Below are 19,774 nucleotides of genomic sequence, written 5' to 3' on the forward strand. Positions count from 1 at the left end.
CTGGGTCATAGGGTAGGTATTTGTTTAACTTTATAAGCACCAAACCCTTTTCCAAGGTGGTTACACCATCCTGTACTCCAACCAGCCACATATGAGAGAGTTCAGGTTGCCCCCTGTCCTTGCCAGCACTTGATGTCGTAAAGCTTCTTAAGTTTAGCCATTCTAGTGGGGGACGTAGTATTGCATTGTGGTTTTCATTTCATTGCTCTAAGAAGTAATAATGTTGAGCATCTTTTCATTTATTTATTGGCCAGTTGAAAATATATGTGTGTGTATATATATATATATATATTTTTTTTTTTTTTTGAAATAGAGTCTCACTCTGAGCCCAGGCTGCAGTACAGTGCCTCGGCTCACTGCAACCTCTGCCTCCTGAGTTCAAGTGATCCTCCCGCCTCAGCCTGCCAAGTAGCTGGGATTACCAGCATGTGCCACCACACCTGGCGAATTTTTGTATTTTTAGTAGAGACAGGGTTTCACTATGTTGGCCAAGCTGGTCTTGAACTCCTGACCTCAAGTGATCCGCCCACCACAGCCTTCCAAAGTGCTGAGATTACAAGTGTGAGCCACTGCCTCTGACCCTAATATATTTCTATAAAGAAATAAGGAGGGGCCATCAAGACTTTTGCCCATTTTTTAATTGGGCTGTTTGTGTTTTTATTATTAGGTTGTAGGAGTTCTTTATAAATTCTCATAAATCCTTTGTCAGACACAGGTTTTGCAAATGCAAATATTTTTCTGAGTCTGTGGCTTGTCCATTATGACGCTTGCTTTGATGAGCAGAAGTTTTTAATTTTTTTAACGTCTAATTCATTAACTGTTTATTTCATGGTTATTGTTTTCTGTATTCTAACAAAGAAATCTTTGTCTGCTCCTTGACCACAAAGATATTATCCTTCATTTCCCATTTTCTTCAAAAAGCTTTTATGGGTTTTGCTTTCATATTTGAGTTTATGACCAATCTTGACTTAATTTTGTGTATGGCGAGGGAATAGTCAAAGTTAATGTTTTTCCCATGGATATTCAGCTGTTCCAGAACCATTTTTTGGGGAGGGGATGTTTTGTTTGTTTGTTTGTTTGTTGTTTTTTGAGATGGAGTCTCTCTCTTGTTGCCCAGGCTGGAGTGCAATGGCGCAGTCTCAGCTCACTGCAACCTATGCCTCCCGGGTTCAAGTGATTCTCCTGCCTCAGCCTCCCAAGTAGCTGGGATTACAGGTGCCCCCATCCCCCGGCCTGGCTTATTTTTGTATTTTTAGTAGAGATGGGGTTTCACCATGTTGGCCAGGCTGGTCTCGAACTCCTGACCTCAGGTGATCCGCCTGCCTTGGCCTCCCAAAGTGCTGGGATTACAGGCATGATGAGCCACCACGCCTGACCACCACCACCATTTGTTGAAAAGGCCATCCTTTCCCTGTTGAATTGCTTTGATAATTTTGTCAACAGTCAATTGTTCATGTCAGTGTGGGTCTACTTCTGAGCTCCACTCATCTATTTGTCTATTCTTAGGTCAATACCACACTATTTAAATAGCTAGCTTTACAGTAAAACTTGATGTTAGGTAGTGTAAGCTCTCCAACTTTTTCTTCTTTTCCTAAATTGTTTTGCCTATTCTAAGTCTCTACATTTCCAAATTTTAAAATTCATTTGTCAATTTATATTTGTTTTAAATGAAAGCCTATTGGGATTGTGTTGAAGCCATACTTCAGCTTAGGGGGAACTGACATATTAATACTGAGTTGTCCAATCCATGAACATAGTATATCTTTCCATGTATTTACATCTTCTTTAATTTCTCTCAGCATCATCTTGTGTTTTCAGTATTGATATTGAATATTTCCCATCTTTTATTAATCTGTTGCTAATTATCTTATGTTTTTTGACACTATTGTAAATGGAATTGGTTTTTTAAATATCAGTTCCCAAATGTTTGGTGCTACTATATGAAAATACAATTGATTTTTGTATCTTGACCTTTCTTCAGAAGTGTTTTAATGGGATCTGAAAGAAGAAGTGAGAGAGGTTTAATGAATCAGCCTGTACCTGAACAGGAAGAGAGAAAATGAACAGAAAGGGAACTGACATGCATCGAGTTCTCTATCTGCAAAGCACTCTGCTGGAAATTTTTCATACTTAATTTTCACAGCAACCCTGTGAAGTTGGTTGTTATCCATGTTTTACAGATAAGGAAAGGAAGTGCTCCAGGACCCCACAGGTAGCAAGTGGCAGCCAGGATTCAACCAGAGCTTTTGAGCCCTAAACCCTGCATTCCTCTCGGTATACAGCGCTGCCACGATGCCGCAGAGCAATAGCATGTCAAGTGCTCGCAGGATGGATGCATAAAGAGGTGGCAGCTTACATCAAAGCCAGGTGACCTCCCGTCCAGCTCCTGCAGCCAGGAGGTGTGAGATCCCTGGTGGGCACATAGAGCTAAAGTTCTCCCACCTGTTCTTTCTAGGGCTTAAGCTGCCATGAGCCAATAGGCATGGATGGATGTGATATCCACAGCATGGTGAGCCATGGGCAACAGGGGCATGACCTAGTCCTGACCACACTGGGCCAGCACCAGGCCGGCCATGCCTCCCCAGAGCCTCCCTGGTCTGGGAAGTTTGTGGGCAGGATAGCAGAGCTGTGAGGATCAGTTCCACCTTGCAGATGAAAGAGTACCCTGAGGCCCAGACAGAACCCAAGTGCTGAGCCCGAGAAGCGAAAATCAGCACTTGGGCTTTGTTCCCCAAACCTCTCCTAACATGAGCATCACCGGGGGCAATTTTTCTAAAGCAGATTCCCAGATAACTTCCCCAGAGTTTCTGATTCAGTAGGTCTGAGATGCGGCTCAGGAATCTGTGCTCTAAGCTGCCGAGTGATTCTTCCAATCAGGATATTCTGAGAAACATGAAGTTACTGCTTCCTTAAGGGATTAGGGAAAAACCTGCAGATTGGATGGGAATGAAACAGACCTCCTACCAGAAGTGAGGTAAAGGTCGAAGCCTGTGCTCAGGCAAGCGAGCTGCGTGAGTACCTAAAATGTGTAGGGGATTCCCTCTTCGATGAGTAAAACGGCCAGAGCTCGGCTCTTAGGAAGGTTAACTCCTGAAATGTTGGGTGGGGTCAGGGAGGGACGCCATGGAGAAAAGGGCTTGGCTATGACTCTCAAAGCCTTCAAAGGAAAATGCCCCCCTCTGGCTCCCCAGGATATGGCAGCACAAGACGTCCAGTGGGTAACTGGAAAGAAACCGTCCCAGGGCTCGTCACAAATCACTGCCCAACCAATGAATCACAGGTTATCTAGACAGGCTGAATTCACCACCTTTGCCCATTGGCCGCTTAGGTGCTGAGGCCGCAGGATCTGCCAGCACAGGACCATCAGTTCCCTCCCGTGCCTTATTTACATTTCATTTTATTATTTTTTTAAATTTTATTTTAGAGACATGGGGACTTGTGTCGCGCAGGCTGGAGTGCGGTGGCACAATCACAGCTCACTGCAGCCTCCACCTCCTGAGCTCAAGAGAGCCTCCCACCTCAGCCTCCTGAGTAGCTAGATTACAGGCACGTGTCACCACCCCTGGCTAATTTTCTTTTAATCTTTTGAGGCTGATGTTCTGGTACGTGGGAAAGGAGAGGGAAAGGGGCTGCAGAAGAGAATGAGAGAAAGGGAGGAAGGAATTGAAGACATTCAAGTGTGAGTGGGGAAATGCATAAAAGAGAAAAGGCTACGCAGGGCCAAGTGGACCCCTGAAAACACAGACACAGAGCAGGCACATGCTGGTGGTGCATGGCAGGGCGCTGTGCTGGGGGCTGTCCCGGCCTGGAGAGGGGCAGAGGGATTGCAGTTGACATGTCAACAATCGCTCCTGAATGGCAAGCCCGAGCCCTCCCCTCCACTCCTTCACTCCTGAAGTCCGGTCAAGAGGCTCCAGGCTCTTTTTTGTTACCTTTTTCCGCACCACTGGTTGCCCTGGCAACAGCCGCAGCTGGCCCGTCTCCCAAATCACAAGCTGTAATGAGAATCTCAGGCAGGTTTGTTCTGCTCTGCTGGCTCGCAGACAATAGGTGGAACGCTGGCCCACAGCTGTGGTTTCAGAACCTGTCCCCGAGGATGCCCCGCAAGTAAGGGGAGGGAACAGGGTCTGGGAGGAAAGGTGAGAAAGGGCTCAGCTAAGAGAGAAGGCAGCGGAGGAAACAGGAATGTCCTGGAACTTCCCTACCACCACCTCTGGGACAAACCGGCTGGATGGGAGTGCACAGTGGATGGATCCATAGCTGAATACACAGCAGCACCTAAAGGAAGTGTCTGCCCAGCCCCCAGCCTGCGCCTGCGCCTCCACTGTTCTCACCCAGCGGCTTCAGTGAAAACACGCTGTCCAGATCCACAAATGACCCAAAGCTTCCAGGGAGAGCAAATGTGCTGCAGGCGACAGAGCTGGTATTCATAAAAGAGACCATATTCGATTGGAACAGTGGGCGGAAACTAATAATTTTGAGAAAGATATAGGAAAAGTTGGCTGAACAGAAATTGTCTCGAGAGGCCGGGCGCGGTAGCTCAGGCCTGTAATCCTAGCACTTTGGAAGGCTGAGGCAGGTGGATCACTTGAGGTTAGGAGTTTGAAACCAGCCTGACCGACATGGTAGAACCCCGTCTGTACTAAAAATACAAAAACAAATGGCCAGGCATGGTGGCGGGCACCTGTAATCCCAGCTACTTGGGAGGCTGAGGCAGGAGAATTGTTTGAACCCAGGAGGTGGAGGTTGCAGTGAGCCAAGATCACGCCACTTCACTCCAGCCAGAGCGAGACTCCGTCTCAAAAAAAAAAAAAGAAAAGAAAAAAGAAATTGTCTCGAGAGTCCAAATCACTCGCAAGCTCAGTGCACATCAACAGGGACGCAGCAGCTTAGAACACAGACGCAAGCGGGAGGCACGTGTGCCAGTGTGTCACTGCAGCCCATTCTTTGCCTGGTGGCTGAGCACCCCTCAGGTAAAGTGTATGGGGTCTTAGAAGTCAAGTTGGTGGATGCAGTTTGAATTCAGCTTCCAGTATTTAAAATGTTTGTAATTGTATAAATCAGAGGCTGTGTAATGTTGGGGTCAAAAGCAGGAATGCTGGAGCCAAACTAACTGGGTGTGAATCCCAGTGTTTATAAGCTGTGTATCCTTGAGGAAGTTACTTCACCTCTCTGAGTGTCAGTTGCCTCATCTATACAATGGAGGCAATAGCACTGCCTCCCTCCTAGGGTTTCAGTGAGAATTGAGTCAGTGACTCTAGGTAAAACACTCAGAAGAATGCCGGCACACCGAAAGTGCAAATTCTGGTTGCTAATGGTATTAGTGACTCAGCTGTTGCTTTCAAAAGGTTGATGAGTTGTTTTTGCCTGGAGGGCCCTGGACTCGGAATGCCTGGCCACCCTCAATACTCTCGAACCTAAACTCCTAGTCACCCTTGTATGGTCAGGCTGTGTCTGGCCACTCCCGACAGGAGGTGAGTAAGAGGGACCAATGACCCTCTCCCCAGAGCAGCCCGAGGCCACATGCACCAGCCCATGGTGCTCCTATGGCCCTTGGAGAGCCCCACTAAGGAAGGGCTGTCCCTCTGCTGGCTGGTCCGTGGGGACCCAGTATTCTGAGGACTCACAGCTGCTGAGGAAACACACTTCCACTACCAGCTTCACACCCAGCACGTGCGGGAGCCGTGGAAAGCCACCACCCTTGTCTCCCTTCCTTAGCTAGGAACCCTCTCTTCTTCTTCACTGGGTCTTGGGAAGACTGGAGAGGGCTTTACCCCCTGAGAATGGAACATTGTATAATCATCTACTTGTTCAGAGGAGAGAAATCCTACTCCAGCTCAATCTCTAGAAGAGATTTCTGTAGGCAGCCCAGCACTTCAGCTCAGACGCCATCGCACGCTGGGACCTTAGCCAAATCCTCTTGTTCTTAATTTCTCCCCATCAACACGAGAGTGTTGATTTCAGGGGAGCCTGGAAACTTCTCCATCCACCCAGACTTGTTGGAGAGGCGACTTGCACAGTGCTTTGCAGAAACACAGGTCTCTGTTTTCAGGAGTTGCTCTCGGGAAGGTGAAGCTGTGATCTTTGAAAGCTTTGTAAAGTTCCCTGCATTTCAGAATCACATTCTTTCCCATTTGCCTTTCCCACAAACCCAAAACAGATTTGGAGCAATGGAAACCATGCTTAGAAAAAAAAACCCTCATGATGGAAAACTGCCAAACCTCATCTTCAAAACTAAATGTGGTCTCATCCCAGTTGTCAAGGCCCAATTTTGTATTTTACTCTTGTATTATTTATTTTGCAAACACTGCAGGTGTGTGACGCCAGATGCTGTTCTAAGAGCTTTGCAAACAGTGACTCATTTCATCCTTATAACAACTCCATAAAGGAGACACTGTTGTTATCTTCATCCTCATTTTTGGAGGGGTAAACTGAGGCATGGTACATGACCCATAAGTAACTAGGGATTTAGACCAGGCAGCAAACTCCAGAGTCCATGGTCTTAACCCACAGTGCTGCCTTTCACTCTGCCATGCTTGCTTGCCTTTTCCATGTAGACTAGAATCTTCTAGAAAGCAGAGATAGTGTCTTCATAAAACATCTGTGAAAGGAAAATACATTTTGGGACCCTAAAATCGCTAATCCAAAGGGAAAAGTCAAGCTGGGAACTGCATCAGGCAAACCTGCCTCCTATTTTATTCGTAAATAAGATCACTACACAGACAAAAATTTACATACCTTGCTCACAATTTACCCACAAGGAAATTCCTCGTGGACAAAGAACAGATGGAACTCAAAGTCATCCCTCTGTTCATATGAGACCAGTGTATATGTGATGGTTTCCTCTGCTCTATTGTCTATGTAAAAACGCAGATTCACTGAGCCAGACTGAGGCATCAGTGATTGTTCCCCTACCCCTCTCTCACATGTAAATTGTGTATTCAGTGAAAGGCTAATTTGAGTTAATCAGAAACTCAAAAGAATGCAACTGTTTGTCTCTTATCTACCTATAACCTGGGAGCCCCCACTTTGAGTTGCCCCACCTTTCTGGACCAAACCAATGTACATCTCACACATATTGATTGATGTCTCATGTCTCCCTAAAATGTATAAAACCAAGCTGAGTCCCAAACACCTTGGGCACCTGTTGTCAGGACCTCCTGAGGCTGTGTCACGGGCATGTCCTTAACCTTGGCAAAATGAACTTTCGAAATGGATTGAGACCTGTCTCAGATACTTTTGGGTTCACACATCTTACAGTGAGTCCTGCAGGCCCCTGACAAATGCCTTGTGATGACGTTGGCAGCTGTTCGCAGCAGCAGCAATGACTGAGAGGTGTCCTTCACCTCCATCTCACTAATTAGACACCACAGCTCTGGGAAGCAGGGGAAACCAGCCATCTCTGCTGGGGCAGCCGCTTCCTACAACCCGCCCAAGTGCCCTGCAAATGACAATGACGGCAGCTCCTGCCCTGAGAAGGGCCTGGGCACGGGAGGGGAACAGTCTCAGGATGCCTGTTCTACTAGGGGAGGGGGCGCAGCTTCCCAGAGGCTCATGGCCTGACTTCTGACCTTCCTGAAACCTGCACCACCGCCCCCTTCCAGCTTCCCTGACTGCAAAACAGCATCTTCTCTTGCATTGTTCTTTGAGGAAATTTGGCAGCAGGCATGGAAAATGTTTCCTCCAGGCCCCCAGCTCAGCACATGAAAGGCAGGCTGCTGTCTGCGGGGCCCCCAGACGCCACTGGATTCCCGGCCAGAACTTGCAGCTCAGGGAGTGGCCCTGTCTCTTTTGTTATGACCCCTCCTCGAGATGCCAAGCTGGCGGGGGAACAACAGCTGGCACTGGCCGGGCTGGCTCTGAGTTCCCCTCTCACAGCTCACCTAGCCTGAGCCCCTGGGACCAGGTGGGGCTGCTCCAGGACCAGGAGCACCTCCGGGGGCTGCAGCCATGTCCTCGGGAATGTCAGAGGCCTGATGCTGGCAGGGGCTTCACTCACACGCCACGCATGGCAGGAGGGGCGAGCGCTCCCCAGGCCTGGCTGTTGTTTATTCCCCTCCTTGCCCCTGTTGGGGGGTTGACTTTGAGCACTGACATCAGAGTTTCATTTCGAGAGACCCTCAGTGTTCACTAGAGCAAGGTCTGCTCTGCAGAATATGACAGCCAGGCGCCCCCTCCTACCGTAGACTTGGGGTCCTCACCCAGGGGCCCTCAGAGACCGGTGGGTGAAGACTGACGTGTGACTCTACTGGAAAAATGACGAGGTGACAGGCACCACCCTCGTGGCTTTGCACTCAGCTAGTAGGCAGCTTCTCTCCAGTGCTGGACTGTTCCTGCATCCCTGTCCAGAAACCAGAGGGCATTTTGAAGGTGACGCAAACACATCATGTCCCACTGGCATTGTGACCTCAGGTACGAGGTTGTGTTTTCACAGCAACCCTGCACAATAGATGGGGTTGGAATTTCATTATGCCCACTGGACAGATGTGAAAACTGAGACCCAGAGAAGCGATCCATCAAAGGGCAGCCACTCTGCCGCTCATTCCAAGTGCTTTTCCCTTTTATGCCCTACCACCAAGTAAGGCCACCCATGTACTGGTGAGGGAAGCGAGGAGGAGAGTCATGAGGAATTCGACAGAATTGCACAGCCCTGAGGGAAAGAACCTCTTTGAATTTGGGGCCCCTTCCCAGCCTTCTGGGACCCCCTGTAGTCAGAATAAAGGCAGGTGTCACCAGCCTCAGTTGTCCCCCAACTCCACTCCACATAGAACCCACCCAGAACTTAGCAAGTACTTCCTCTCTGTCCAGAAGACCCCTCTCCTGTTACTCCCTGTCTGTTTCCTCTGCTAGGCACGGGACGCTTCTAGCCGAGGCCACCTTTCCTAAAGGAGACCCAGGGACATGCAGCCACTGTCAGCCCAGGAGGGTGGACCTGAGGGCTCTTGGGGAGGTGGCTGGGGAAGACCAGGGGCTACCTAAAAATAGGCTTGTGCCCCAGGCTGTTGAGTGACAACCTCTCCCTGGGCACAGCTGGGACTGTGTGACCGAGAAATGGGGGAGTAGGAGCCAGGGAGGCTGAGTGTCCCCAGGGAGCTTAAGCAAAGCTATTTTGAAGCCCATTTATTGGGCAGCCAGGATGGGTCCCACATGCTTTCCTGGTGCCCCTCGGAGGCACTTGGGAATGGGGAGATGATGGAGTTGACAGCTTGGGACAAAGCTGGGTTAGCCAGAGGTAGGAACAAAAGGAACAGCAGAGAAAGCGGAACCGGGAAGGGGGTTGCAATACTGAGAAGCAGGAGGCAGAGCAGGTGGATTTCACTGGAGGCCCTCACCCCACCTGCAGGGCCTCTGGCTGGCTCTGCGGAACCACAAGACACCTCCTGCCACTCAAAGGTTTGGCTGGGAGGAGGTGGGTGGGGAGTGACTTGCTGGTGACCGGTGAGCCCAGTCTCCAGGAGGGCAGGTTCTGCCCGTGCAGAGATGCGCCCGGGTGAGGCACAGGAAGCCCAGGCACCGCTGGTCCTGGAGGCACCATCACCCACATCTGCAGCACTGGTGGGCGGGTCCCCTCCCATTGCCCAATTCCCAGCCCTGCTTCTGGTTTCCAAAGGTTCCTTGACATAGTATTCCACGGAAAACAACCAAGGTGAAAGGTTCTGTCTGCTGCAACCTAACACCTGTAGCAATTCCTGATGGCCCAGCCCCAGCCCGAGGCTCTGATCTGCGGCGGCTGAGGAGTCAGTGCTTTGGGACTCCTGTCAGCCCCCAGTTCATCAGGCATCATCCCAGAGCCTGAGATGTGAGGCCACCTCCTCTGAGCCCTCTCAGCCCTGGTTCCTAGTGGCCTTGTTGTCCCTAAGCCCCACTTAGGGTTGCGAAACTATTAAGTGCATGCACCAGAGCCTCCTATGTGTGAGATACAGTCCTTAACCAAAACAGAATTCTTATCTAGTTAGAGAGAATACGTGAATCAAAAAAATCTATGGCTTTCCAGTGCAACAAACGGTAAGAAGCAAACAGGCGTTGCTGCAATAACAGCAGGGATGGAAGTTCCGGGAAGGGTTATCACAGCCGAGGTTGTTCGGGGCAGGCTTCATTGAGGATTTGGGACATGAATGGAATTTGAGCTTCCCTTCAGCATGGAGAAAGCGTGGAAGCAGAGGTCTGAGGGTGGAAGCAGGCAGGGCTCGTGGGGACCTGATGAAGACGTCTTCCTGGCTGGGTGAACTGTAAGGGGGCGCTGGAGGGATCACAAGGTGGGAGAGGAATTGGGGACAGCCTTGAAGCCCAGGGAAAGAGCTTAGTCTCAATCCTGTGGGTAGTGGGTGAGTCAGAGGTTTTAAAGGGAGGGGGATGGCGGTAGGAACAGCGGTAGGGGTTTTCCAAAGATTAATCTGGATGTAGGGCAGGGTGGACCACAGCTAGAAAGAATAAAGGCAGGAAGTCATCTCCAGGGCCCTGATCTGGCCACAAAGCTGGGCCTCACCCCACAGTTTCCAGACTAGAGAATCTGATCAAGCAAACCCAGGCAGGCCCCTTGTGGCTGATTTAAGCAGTCTCATGAAATGTCGTCTTTGCAAAACGTTCAGTGAGCAGTGGGCTGACACCAGGAATTCCAAATGCTGGTGAGGCAGAAGTTTGGGGGTAAACCGTGGCATCTCACCACTCACTTCCCGAACCTGCTCCAAAGAGACCCAGCATGAAGGAAAAAGGCCCTCAGGGGAGGGAAAAAGAAAATCTCCACCCGGCAGTAGGCAAGCCCCAGCCCCCACCGCGCCCCCCCTCCCTGGAACCCTCCCATTCCTGCCAGTGGGGCTCTCTGGCTGGTTTCGGGGGACCCCACACATGGGAGGGGGCTGCTCTCCCTTAATTGCAACCAACCCCAGGCCTTTTTGATAGGACTCATGAATTTTACCTGAAGTGTAACTGGATGCTATGCTTGATTAGATTTTTCCTGGCTTTCTATACTATCCTATCCTCCTTCTCCCGATCTGGGGGCTCCAGGCCCTCCCTAACTGCCTCCCTTCTCCAAAATGCACCCCTAGTCTCAGACCTCACTGTACTGTTCATCTACTGTCTTACAACTCTGTCCTCGTACTCACCCCAAAAAGTAAGGCAATGACAAAGAGATGGAGTGGAGGGCACTCGAGCAGGAAGCAGAGCCAGAAGCCCTCCCGCTCCAGGGGCCAGGGGGAGGGCGGGGTCAGGAGGGTGAGAAAGCCCAGGAACCCTTCAGACTGGCGGGGTGAGTGCAGCCCCAGCATCCAGACTCAACTCCTCACCCAGGCCCTCCAGGCTGCCCCGCTTTAACGCCTGCTCCTCCCTTCTCCCGCACATGTGTCCCTTCCTGGGGGCTACGCCCTGGTGTTCACATGTCTTTCTTTTTCTCTGTCCTATCTGTCGAGCTTTGCCCAGGATGCTTGGAAGTCTTCATCTTATCATTCCCAGGATCCAGGGAATAATAAGATCCTTATTCCCAGGATCCAGGCATGATGCTGTCTGTGCAGTTCAAGCACAGGTGCATTTTGCATTTACTTTTTGAGGCTTCATATACATGAAGCACTACACTAGGCCATTAGCGCTAACTTAAAGGGGAAGAGAGAATGTGATTGCCACTCTCACGTGGCGCGCTGGAAGGTTCAGGGAGGTGCAGCTGACAAACCAACCAGAGACACTAAGTGCCGCAGGCTGCCCTGCTGGGTGACAGGGCGGCCTGCAGAGGTGGAATGCGCTCTCTGACCCCACAGCCCGCAGGGCCCCAGTTGAGCTCCCAGAGGGCTGCCCGCATCTGTCCCTGTATCTCACGGCGCCCCTCAGGAAGCCCAAGGCAGTGTTCCTGGCATAGATGCGGGGAACCCTCAAGGGTGGGTGCAGTACCTCAGCCTTCCAGGCCCAGGTGCCCCAAGGGCTGGCCTCCTGCAGGGACAATGCTGAGCTGGAGGTCCACACGGCAGGCAGAGGGGTGGCTGGTGTAGCTAAGCCTCCCCAGGAACAAGGAGCCGGGCCTGCTTTCACCTGCTGCTCTCTTTCCTGACAGCTGTGGGAGATGAGTGAGCCGGAGCAGGGCTAGCAGCAAAGGGAAGGCTGCATCAGCCCCCAGCCCAGCCTCTGTGTGGCCTCTGCACGTGCACGCGCACACTACACACACACACACACACAAACACACACCTTGGCAGATGTATCCCTAGAACGTGGCAGAGACTCAGGCTGGAGCCACTTGGTGCAGGGACTCACAACCTCCAAACTCCAGATGCCACCGCTGCTAGGAGCTTATGTCGACTGAGCTTGGACCAATGCTGGTCACAGGATCTTGGACCATGTTCTTGCCTGTTGTACCTCAGAGAAGATCCTTCCCATTCCCTTTCTCCTGTACCCGAGGAAAACCCTAGCCTGCACTTCCCGTCGGGCTTCCTGCTGGGAGCACCTCCAGCCCCCCATTACCCAGCAACAACTTCTCCACGGCCACCCAGGGACACATGTGAACAGGTGATGGAGGCCAGCATGGATTCCCACCCAGCCCCCATGCATGCCTGCTCCTAGGGGTTAGACCCCTGCTTTCCGGAAACTTTCTCTTCCTCGGATATTTGGCAAACTGCCCACCGTGCTTTGAAGTCTTCATCTTATAGATTCTCAGGATCCAGGCACGATGCTATCTGTGCAGTTCAAACACAGCTGCATTTTGCCTTTATTTCTCAGAGCTTAATATACATGAAGCACCAAGCTAGACCATTAGTACTAACTTTACCATTAATGGAAGAGATGGCATGATTCCCACTCTCTCTCAGGTGGTATGTGGGAAGGTTCGGGGAGGCGTGGCCGACAAATGGACCTGAAATATTAAGAGGACAGCACAAGAAAGAGTGTGGCCTGGTGTCCACCATGCTCTTTGGAAGCTCAGTGCCATGGAAGGAGGGGAGGGCCCTTCAGGGCCACGGTGCAGGGAAGTCTGAAAGATTTGAAGGAGGGAGCAACATGGTCCTATGTCAGGAGCTGGTATTAATGCCAGAAATCAAGAGTGTTCTTGATTTAGGAAAAGGAGTACATGGAATTGCCCGGATCACAACGGAGAGGGAGGAGAAGGGAGCTGGCCGTGTCCCCGTCATCACCAGCTGTCATTGGAGGGCAGCTTCCGAGCCCCACTGGTGTCTCAGCTGGGGATGGCAGAAAGCACCCTGCAAGAAGCTGCCAAGCTCTGTCGTTCCTTATGAACCAATTAAACATGATTAAGATTGTGTTCTCATTACCTAAATAATTCATTAACATTTTCAGTAGGAAATTTAGAAAATATAAGTGAGTGAGAATAAAACAGAAATCACGTGTTTTCTCACCCACGGAGACACTGCATCCTTCTAGTCTTTTTTCTACACATAAACATATTTTTGTTAAATTATAATTTGTCAAACGAGGGTATTGATTCAGGGAAAGTTAATATTAGATAGTGCTGTTGCTGTCCATGTTCAAAGGTGGTCTAGTGACAATGATGACTCTTTGGACTGAAAAGAGTCACCGGGCATGGTGGCTCACGCCTGTAATCCCAGCACTTTGGGAGGCTGAGGCGGGCGGATCACGAGGTCAGGAGTTCAAGAGCAGCCTGGCCAACATGGTGAAACCCTGTCTCTACTAAAAAAAATACAAAAATTATCTGGGCGTGGTGGTGGGCACCTGTAATCCCAGCTACTCAGGAGGCTGAGGCAAAAGAATACTTTGAACCTGGGAGGCGGAAGTTGCAGTGAGCCAAGATCGCACCATTGCACTCCAGCATAGATGACAGAGTGAGACTCCGCCTCAAAAAGAAAAAAAAGAAAAGAAAAGAGTCACCCTGCAGGAACAATGGCCATTATCTGTCACACGGCTTTTGGACTTACCATTTGCCTGGATGTCTTTGTGTGAAGAAAGCCAAGTCCCCTACCCACCACCTCCTCATCCCCCACACAATCATCTCCATGCAGTTTCACCTTCGTCTTCCAATACCGCACATCTGTGACACGCTGCGAGCAGTGCTGCACAGAAGCATATTTTAAAAGCTTCCTATAACTTCCCCGCCTCTTGTTTCTTTGGTTCAAGAACAGTTGACCCATGGGGCAGGAAAGTATATAAAAATATCCCTATGGGCTGGGCACGGTGCCTCACGCCTATAATGCCAGCATTTTGGGAGGCCAAGGCGGGAGGATCACCTGAGGTCAGGAGTTCAAGACCAGCCTGGCCAACATGGTGAATCTCCATCTCTCCTAAAAATACAAAAATTAACCGAGTGTGGTGGTGCATGCCTGTAATCTCAGCTGCTTGGGAGGCTGAGGCAGAAGAATCACTGGAAGCCGGGAGGAAGAGGTTTCAGTGAGTCAAGATCATGCCATTGCACTCCAGCCTGGGTGACAAGAGCAAAACTCCAACTCAAAAAATAAAAATATCCCTGTGCACCCAGAGGGGGCCCCGATCTCAGGGAAAGGTTGATCTTGGGAGAGGCAGGGCATAGATTAAAAACAATTGTCTAATGCACGATTAAATACGTTCATGGGCTTGCACAGTGTAAGAGCTCAAGAGAGACTTAGAAATAACAGAGTACCTCCCTCCCTCTGCCTTGCAGACAGGGAAAGTGGTTCCAAAAACAGGCTTTCGAAGCCCCAACATGTTTGTTTCTGAGCCCTCACATGGCTTCTTAGCAGTCTTTGGGCTTTCTAGCTCAGGTGCATACACATCAGACACATTTTCATTGAGCTCACAGGAAATCACTGCAGCTCACACAGCTTCCTCAAAAAGGCAAAAATCACCGGGAGAAAGTCACAAGGTTTAAGAACTTTCTCAGCCCCAAAGGGTTAATGGAGGCTGGCAATGCAGCATGATCCCACCCGGGCTTGGACAGGAAAAGAACTCAGGAGCTGTTTTTCTTCTCCGAAAGCCAATCCCAGTGGAGGCACTGGGGTTTTTAAAACCAAATGTCTCTACAGCTTGAAATGAACGACTGCGTGACCTCAGCCGTCACACACACATGGCCCCTGCTGTTAAACCCTGAGCAGGGCTGGGCTCAGGGCATCCCGTAAATATTCGACGTCTGTGAGGCACATGTGGGAGGAAGAGCTGCCATCAGAAGTGGTTTCAGCTGGAAGGCCAGAGTCTCTCTCTCTCTCTCTGTGTCTGTCTGTCTCTGAAAGTTACCGTCATCTGTTAGCAATTTCCCCACTCCCATTAAAGCCAGACACTGGATCCATTTGCGTTGCTGCAGACCACCATAAGGGATTCATTTTTATTGCTTGGATGTGAGTCTCTGAACCACATCAATTACAGCCCTTTGTGTTACCGACCAGGTAGTATGAATGAGACGATGACAATCTTACTGCAGAATGGTTCACAGATTGTACCGAGATGGAATTCTCCGTTCACTGAGAGCAGAGGAGGGAAAAAAATCTAGATTCTAGGCTACAGAGACAATTCAACTCCCACAAAATGTGAGTGCCTTATCAGTCTCAGCAAAACCTCACTCCTGCAGGTGTGGACAGTTGGGACCTGAAACTCAAGTGGAAGGAGTGATTTCCAAAGCTACAGAAACAAACATAACATGATTGTCATTACTAGCAATCATGCATGAAAAATTGAGTCATTAACCCTGTGGAGATATTTCTAAAACACACATTGGACCCAGACTGGAGAACTGAGTTTCCTGCTGCTTCTTCCATGAATTTGTGCCGTGACTCTGGGAACGTCATGCAGATGGAGCCTCAGTTTCCTCTTCTGTCCAGTGAAGGGCTGAAGGGTTTAGATGATCTGAATTTCCCTCCATCTCTAGCTCTCTAGGACTCTAGGCACCTTTATAAAGTGGGGAAATAGAATCATCAGGATAAACTCTTGCAGAAATCATCATACTGGGGCAGTGAGGAGAGGTGAACCATGCTGAGCACTGCACAAAACATTTCGGACAGAAAGTCCTGTGCCTCCCCCAGCTTTCCGTCTAAGACAAGCATGCATGCAATAGCAAGAATCCCTAGGCACAGGACTGAACCAGGACTCCCGGCCACAAAAGCTGCCATGGGAAGCTATAGCTTCTCCAGCTCCTCAGTGGCACCGTTCAGCCCTCAAGGCAGACTCTCACCAGGAGAAGAGCCAGGGTGGCTACGCTGTGGGAGCAGGGGACCCTAAAAGTGCATGGAGAGCGGCCTTCACCCTTGCAGGAAATGCCTGAGCCTCCCAGATGGGCCTGACCTGGCCCGAAGATACCACCCCTCTTAGAGGGGCCTCACCAGCTGACAGATCCATCATATCCCGGCAAAAAGGGGAGTCTGGAACCAGGACTTCACCCACTGTCTTCTCTCTTGCTCTCTTTTGTTTTCTGCAAGTGATGGATGGACGTACTTTGAAGGAAGTTCAGCCTGATAAGTCATTTCCTCCCCCGAAGGCATCTGACTCACCTCTAATTCACCTCCCATGAGGCTGCTCAGGACAGACAATGTGGATTTTTTCCTGAGTTGTAATATACTGTGGCTTCTTCACTCAAGCCCCCACAAGTAGCTTTGCCTGTGCAGGAAACCCAGGCTGGGGCCCTCGGGGCTTGCCGTCATCCTGCTTTTCTGCAACATATCCACCCATCTCCCGTTTCCACTCCAGGAGAACAGAAGGGTGACGCTGCCCAGACTCACAAGAGCTCGGGGTCCAGCTGTGGGGTGCAGCCAGGACCCAATGCCATGTCTGATCCCCACACGGGAGACCACCAGCCTGCTTCGCAAAGGAGTTCAAAGGAAGCAAGCACCAGCCAGGCGAGACACTCATCCAGCTGTGAGCATCACGGCCTAAAGGCAACATGCAGGGGCTCTTTCCCATTTTTAATGGAATCTTAACTGTCCACCAACCACGTCTTCCAGATTTACCCACAAGGCTTGACAGCGTCAGAGGAAAGAAAGGAGATTCTCCCATCCCGTGCTCTTCTTTCTCTCTGCTGGGCGGTTGTGTGTACAGAGCGCAGGCCACCACACACACACACACACACACACACACACACGCATACACACATACACGCACACGCATGCACATACACACATACACACATGCACATACACACATACACACACATACACACATGCAGAGTGCAGTTCGTAGTGGCCATGCATGAGCAGCCCCATCCAGGTGGGCAAAGGGAGTGATGATGAGCAGCCTGGGCCCGAGCTGTGGTCAAGACAGCCCTGCCCCATCGGTTTCAGCCACCCGGAGCGGCCGCCCCACCCGCCTCCTGCAAAGAGGTGAGCTGCCCCTGCCCACTGCTGCTCCAGCTCACACCCGTCATCCGTGAGCCATTACTGACTACCTACAGGGTGCGCCCGCCGTGGTCTGCATGTCCCACAGAAATTACCCAGGGCTGGCCCAGCGGCTCCCAGCAGACGGCCAGGCATGTGCTCCCAGGGGCACTGGTCCTAGACAGATGAGGACACATAGGGACTGACACCCCTGAAAACGCCTGGGGCAGCAGGCGAGTCACCAGGAGGAGGACTCAGGAGCCGGAAAGGAAGGGCCCATCCCTGGAAGCGTCTGAGCAGAGGCTGGGCAGTCCCAGCAGGGCAGTGTCAGAGGGGACTGGAGGCTCCAAAGCTCTGCTGATGCTGAGACCCTATGAGGCTGTGTCCCACCAAATGAGCCTGCTGAGCTCACAGGCCTGCGTCCCACCAACCGGGAGTGCTGGTCCCACAAGGCTTCATTCCACCAATGGGGCCTGCTGAGACCCCATGAGGCTGTGTCCCTTCAACTGGGCCTGCTGACGAGTGAGCTAGAAGTGGATTTCCTGGAAATGAAATCCATGCCATGACCTGAGAAAGGAGAGTGGCTGAGGAGAGGGCAGCAGGGGATGCCCCCCTCATGGGGGGATGCTCCCCACCCCTCCCTTTAGTACTGAGGGACCCCAGCAGCTGCAGAAGACCAGGGACCAGGGGCCGCTGTCATGGCCTGTGTTGAAATGTGAATGCCTCAGGTTTCCTCTCCCTGAATTTTCCCCTTTCCTCTTCCCTGTTTACCTTTCTGCCTCAATATCCCTGAGTACAAATCGCAAGGACACCAACAGCGGCTTCAGTGGGTCCTTGTGTGAGCCAGGCACATGTACTATTATCTCATTTAATCCTGAGGGAGGCGTGAGGCAGGCCGGGGCAGAAACAGCCTGCACATTTTTCTAGCTTTTGGTTCTAAAACCCCAAGCCCCTGGGAGAAAGGGGAAGGTGGAGTGGGCAGAGAGGGCTTGAAGAAGCTTGAGGGGAGAAGGATCTCCCCAACAAGAGATTAATCAGGCCTGATAGGAAGCAGCCAAGGGAGAGGTAGAAACAACAACAGAGGGAAAGAGAGAGAAGGAGAGAGAGAGAAGAATGAGAGAAAGAGAACGAGAGAACAAGAGAGAGAGGAGAGAGAAAATGAGAGAAAAGGAGAACGAGAGAGGAGAGAGAGAGAAGAACGAGAGAGACAGAACGAGGGAGAGAATCAGAGAGAAAGAGAACAAGAGAGAGAACGAGGGAGAGGAAAGCAAGAATAAGAGTGAGAAGAGAGAGCAAGAACACAAGAGAGAGAAGCAGAGAGAGAGAGAAGAACGAGAGAATGAGAGAGACAGAATGAGAGAGAACAAGAGAGAAAGCGAGAGAGAGGAGAGAGAATGAGAGAGAGAGAAAGAACGAGAGGAGAGAATGAGATAGAGATGAGAGAGTGAGAATGCAAGAGAGAGAGGAGAGAGAGAGAAGAACGAGAGAGAGAGAACAAGAGAGAGGAGAGAATGAGAGTGAGATGAGAGAGTGAGAATGTAAGAGAGAGGAGAGAGAAGAACGAGAGAGAGAGAACAAGAGAGAGGAGAGAGAGAACAAGAGAAAGAAGAAGGAGAGAGAACAAGAGAGAGACAGGAGAGAAAGAACAAGACAGAGAGAACAAGAGGAGAGAGAAAGAGAACAAGAGAGAACGAGAGAGAATGAGACGGGAGAGAGAGAACATGCACCCTGGGGAACTGTGCCCATGTTCTCAGCTCCTCTGAGGGACAGAGCTGAACTCTGGAGAGGGCAGATGGACCCCCCCACCTCCTTCACCTCCTGCCCGGGAAGCCAGAGTGCCATGAGACCAGGCCTCGGAGTCTCAGCTGCCCCCGTGCACACAGAGCATAAAGGCCCCACAAGGAAATGAGGGCCCTGAGACCCCCAAGGTTACCCCACAGTCTTTGGGTGGAGAAAGCCGGGGAAGGACTGACTGGAATTTCCCAGGACCCTGCCACCCGGACCTGCACTCAGATGTCAAGTTACTACAGGAAAATAAAGTGTGCTCTATTTCTTCTGCAACTGAGTTTTTGGACCAGCATTTACATATGCGACATTTGTTTTTAAATTCCCAGCTTAACACCTGGTAGTTCCTCAATGCATGTTTATCGAACGACTGCGTGGGCCAGAGTCAAAAAGAGTGCTGCCGGAGAGGCAACAGAAACATACGATTGGCCAGTGGTTCTCAAAGTGTCACCGAGGAACAGCTGAAGGGTTCCAGATCCTTTCATAATAATCCTAAGACACTAATTGACTTCTTCATTCTCATTCTCTCACAGTGAAGTTTCCAGAAGCTACATGACACGCGGTTCAATTCCGATTGAATGCGGAAGGAGATATGACAACCTTAACGTCCTCTATTAAGCCATACATTAAAAGGACTTGCAAGATGTAAAATAATGCCCTTCTTTTCACTGAATTCTTTTGTCTTGAAAAAATATAATTATTTCCTATAAGAATATTTGATGTTGGTGTGCAACAGGTTTATTAATCGACTGATAGATTAATACATGCAT

The 19,774-nt window shown here is 50.5% G+C and overlaps 1 long non-coding RNA gene across 1 annotated transcript, besides 6 other annotated features; it reads right to left on the reverse strand.

Annotated features, from left to right (window-relative positions):
- Positions 3,626-4,154: an enhancer, noted in NCBI's record as "H3K27ac-H3K4me1 hESC enhancer chr10:5625367-5625895 (GRCh37/hg19 assembly coordinates)". NCBI's record gives its function as "activates a minimal SCP1, AML or CMV promoter by ChIP-STARR-seq in naive H9 embryonic stem cells {active_cell/tissue: H9 hESC(naive)}" and the evidence as "EXISTENCE:reporter gene assay evidence [ECO:0000049][PMID:30033119]".
- Positions 4,761-5,960: an enhancer, noted in NCBI's record as "CDK7 strongly-dependent group 2 enhancer chr10:5626502-5627701 (GRCh37/hg19 assembly coordinates)". NCBI's record gives its function as "activates an origin of replication core promoter dependent on BRD2, BRD4, P300/CBP, MED14 and CDK7 cofactors, with strong dependence on CDK7, by STARR-seq in HCT116 cells {active_cell/tissue: HCT116}" and the evidence as "EXISTENCE:reporter gene assay evidence [ECO:0000049][PMID:35650434]".
- Positions 7,643-8,450: an enhancer, noted in NCBI's record as "H3K27ac-H3K4me1 hESC enhancer chr10:5629384-5630191 (GRCh37/hg19 assembly coordinates)". NCBI's record gives its function as "activates a minimal SCP1, AML or CMV promoter by ChIP-STARR-seq in primed H9 embryonic stem cells {active_cell/tissue: H9 hESC(primed)}" and the evidence as "EXISTENCE:reporter gene assay evidence [ECO:0000049][PMID:30033119]".
- Positions 9,576-9,745: an enhancer, noted in NCBI's record as "experimental_13345 CRE fragment used in MPRA reporter constructs". NCBI's record gives its function as "activates a minimal promoter by MPRAs in K562 erythroleukemia cells, with activity observed for the introgressed 10:5631402 variant allele {active_cell/tissue: K562}" and the evidence as "EXISTENCE:reporter gene assay evidence [ECO:0000049][PMID:34662402]".
- On the reverse strand, positions 15,206-16,340 carry LASTR (lncRNA associated with SART3 regulation of splicing). Its single transcript, NR_134491.1, has 2 exons — positions 16,233-16,340; positions 15,206-15,801 (listed from the first exon to the last, which is right to left on the reverse strand). It is a non-coding gene; the product is annotated as a lncRNA associated with SART3 regulation of splicing (long non-coding RNA).
- Positions 16,248-16,542: an enhancer, noted in NCBI's record as "tiled region #6566; K562 Activating DNase unmatched - State 8:EnhW". NCBI's record gives its function as "activates a minimal TATA promoter and a strong SV40 promoter by Sharpr-MPRA in K562 cells {active_cell/tissue: K562}" and the evidence as "EXISTENCE:reporter gene assay evidence [ECO:0000049][PMID:27701403]".
- Positions 16,828-17,700: an enhancer, noted in NCBI's record as "H3K4me1 hESC enhancer chr10:5638569-5639441 (GRCh37/hg19 assembly coordinates)". NCBI's record gives its function as "activates a minimal SCP1, AML or CMV promoter by ChIP-STARR-seq in primed H9 embryonic stem cells {active_cell/tissue: H9 hESC(primed)}" and the evidence as "EXISTENCE:reporter gene assay evidence [ECO:0000049][PMID:30033119]".

Source organism: Homo sapiens, chromosome 10 (genome assembly GCF_000001405.40).
Source record: "Homo sapiens chromosome 10, GRCh38.p14 Primary Assembly".
Taxonomy (NCBI): Eukaryota; Metazoa; Chordata; class Mammalia; order Primates; family Hominidae; genus Homo; species Homo sapiens.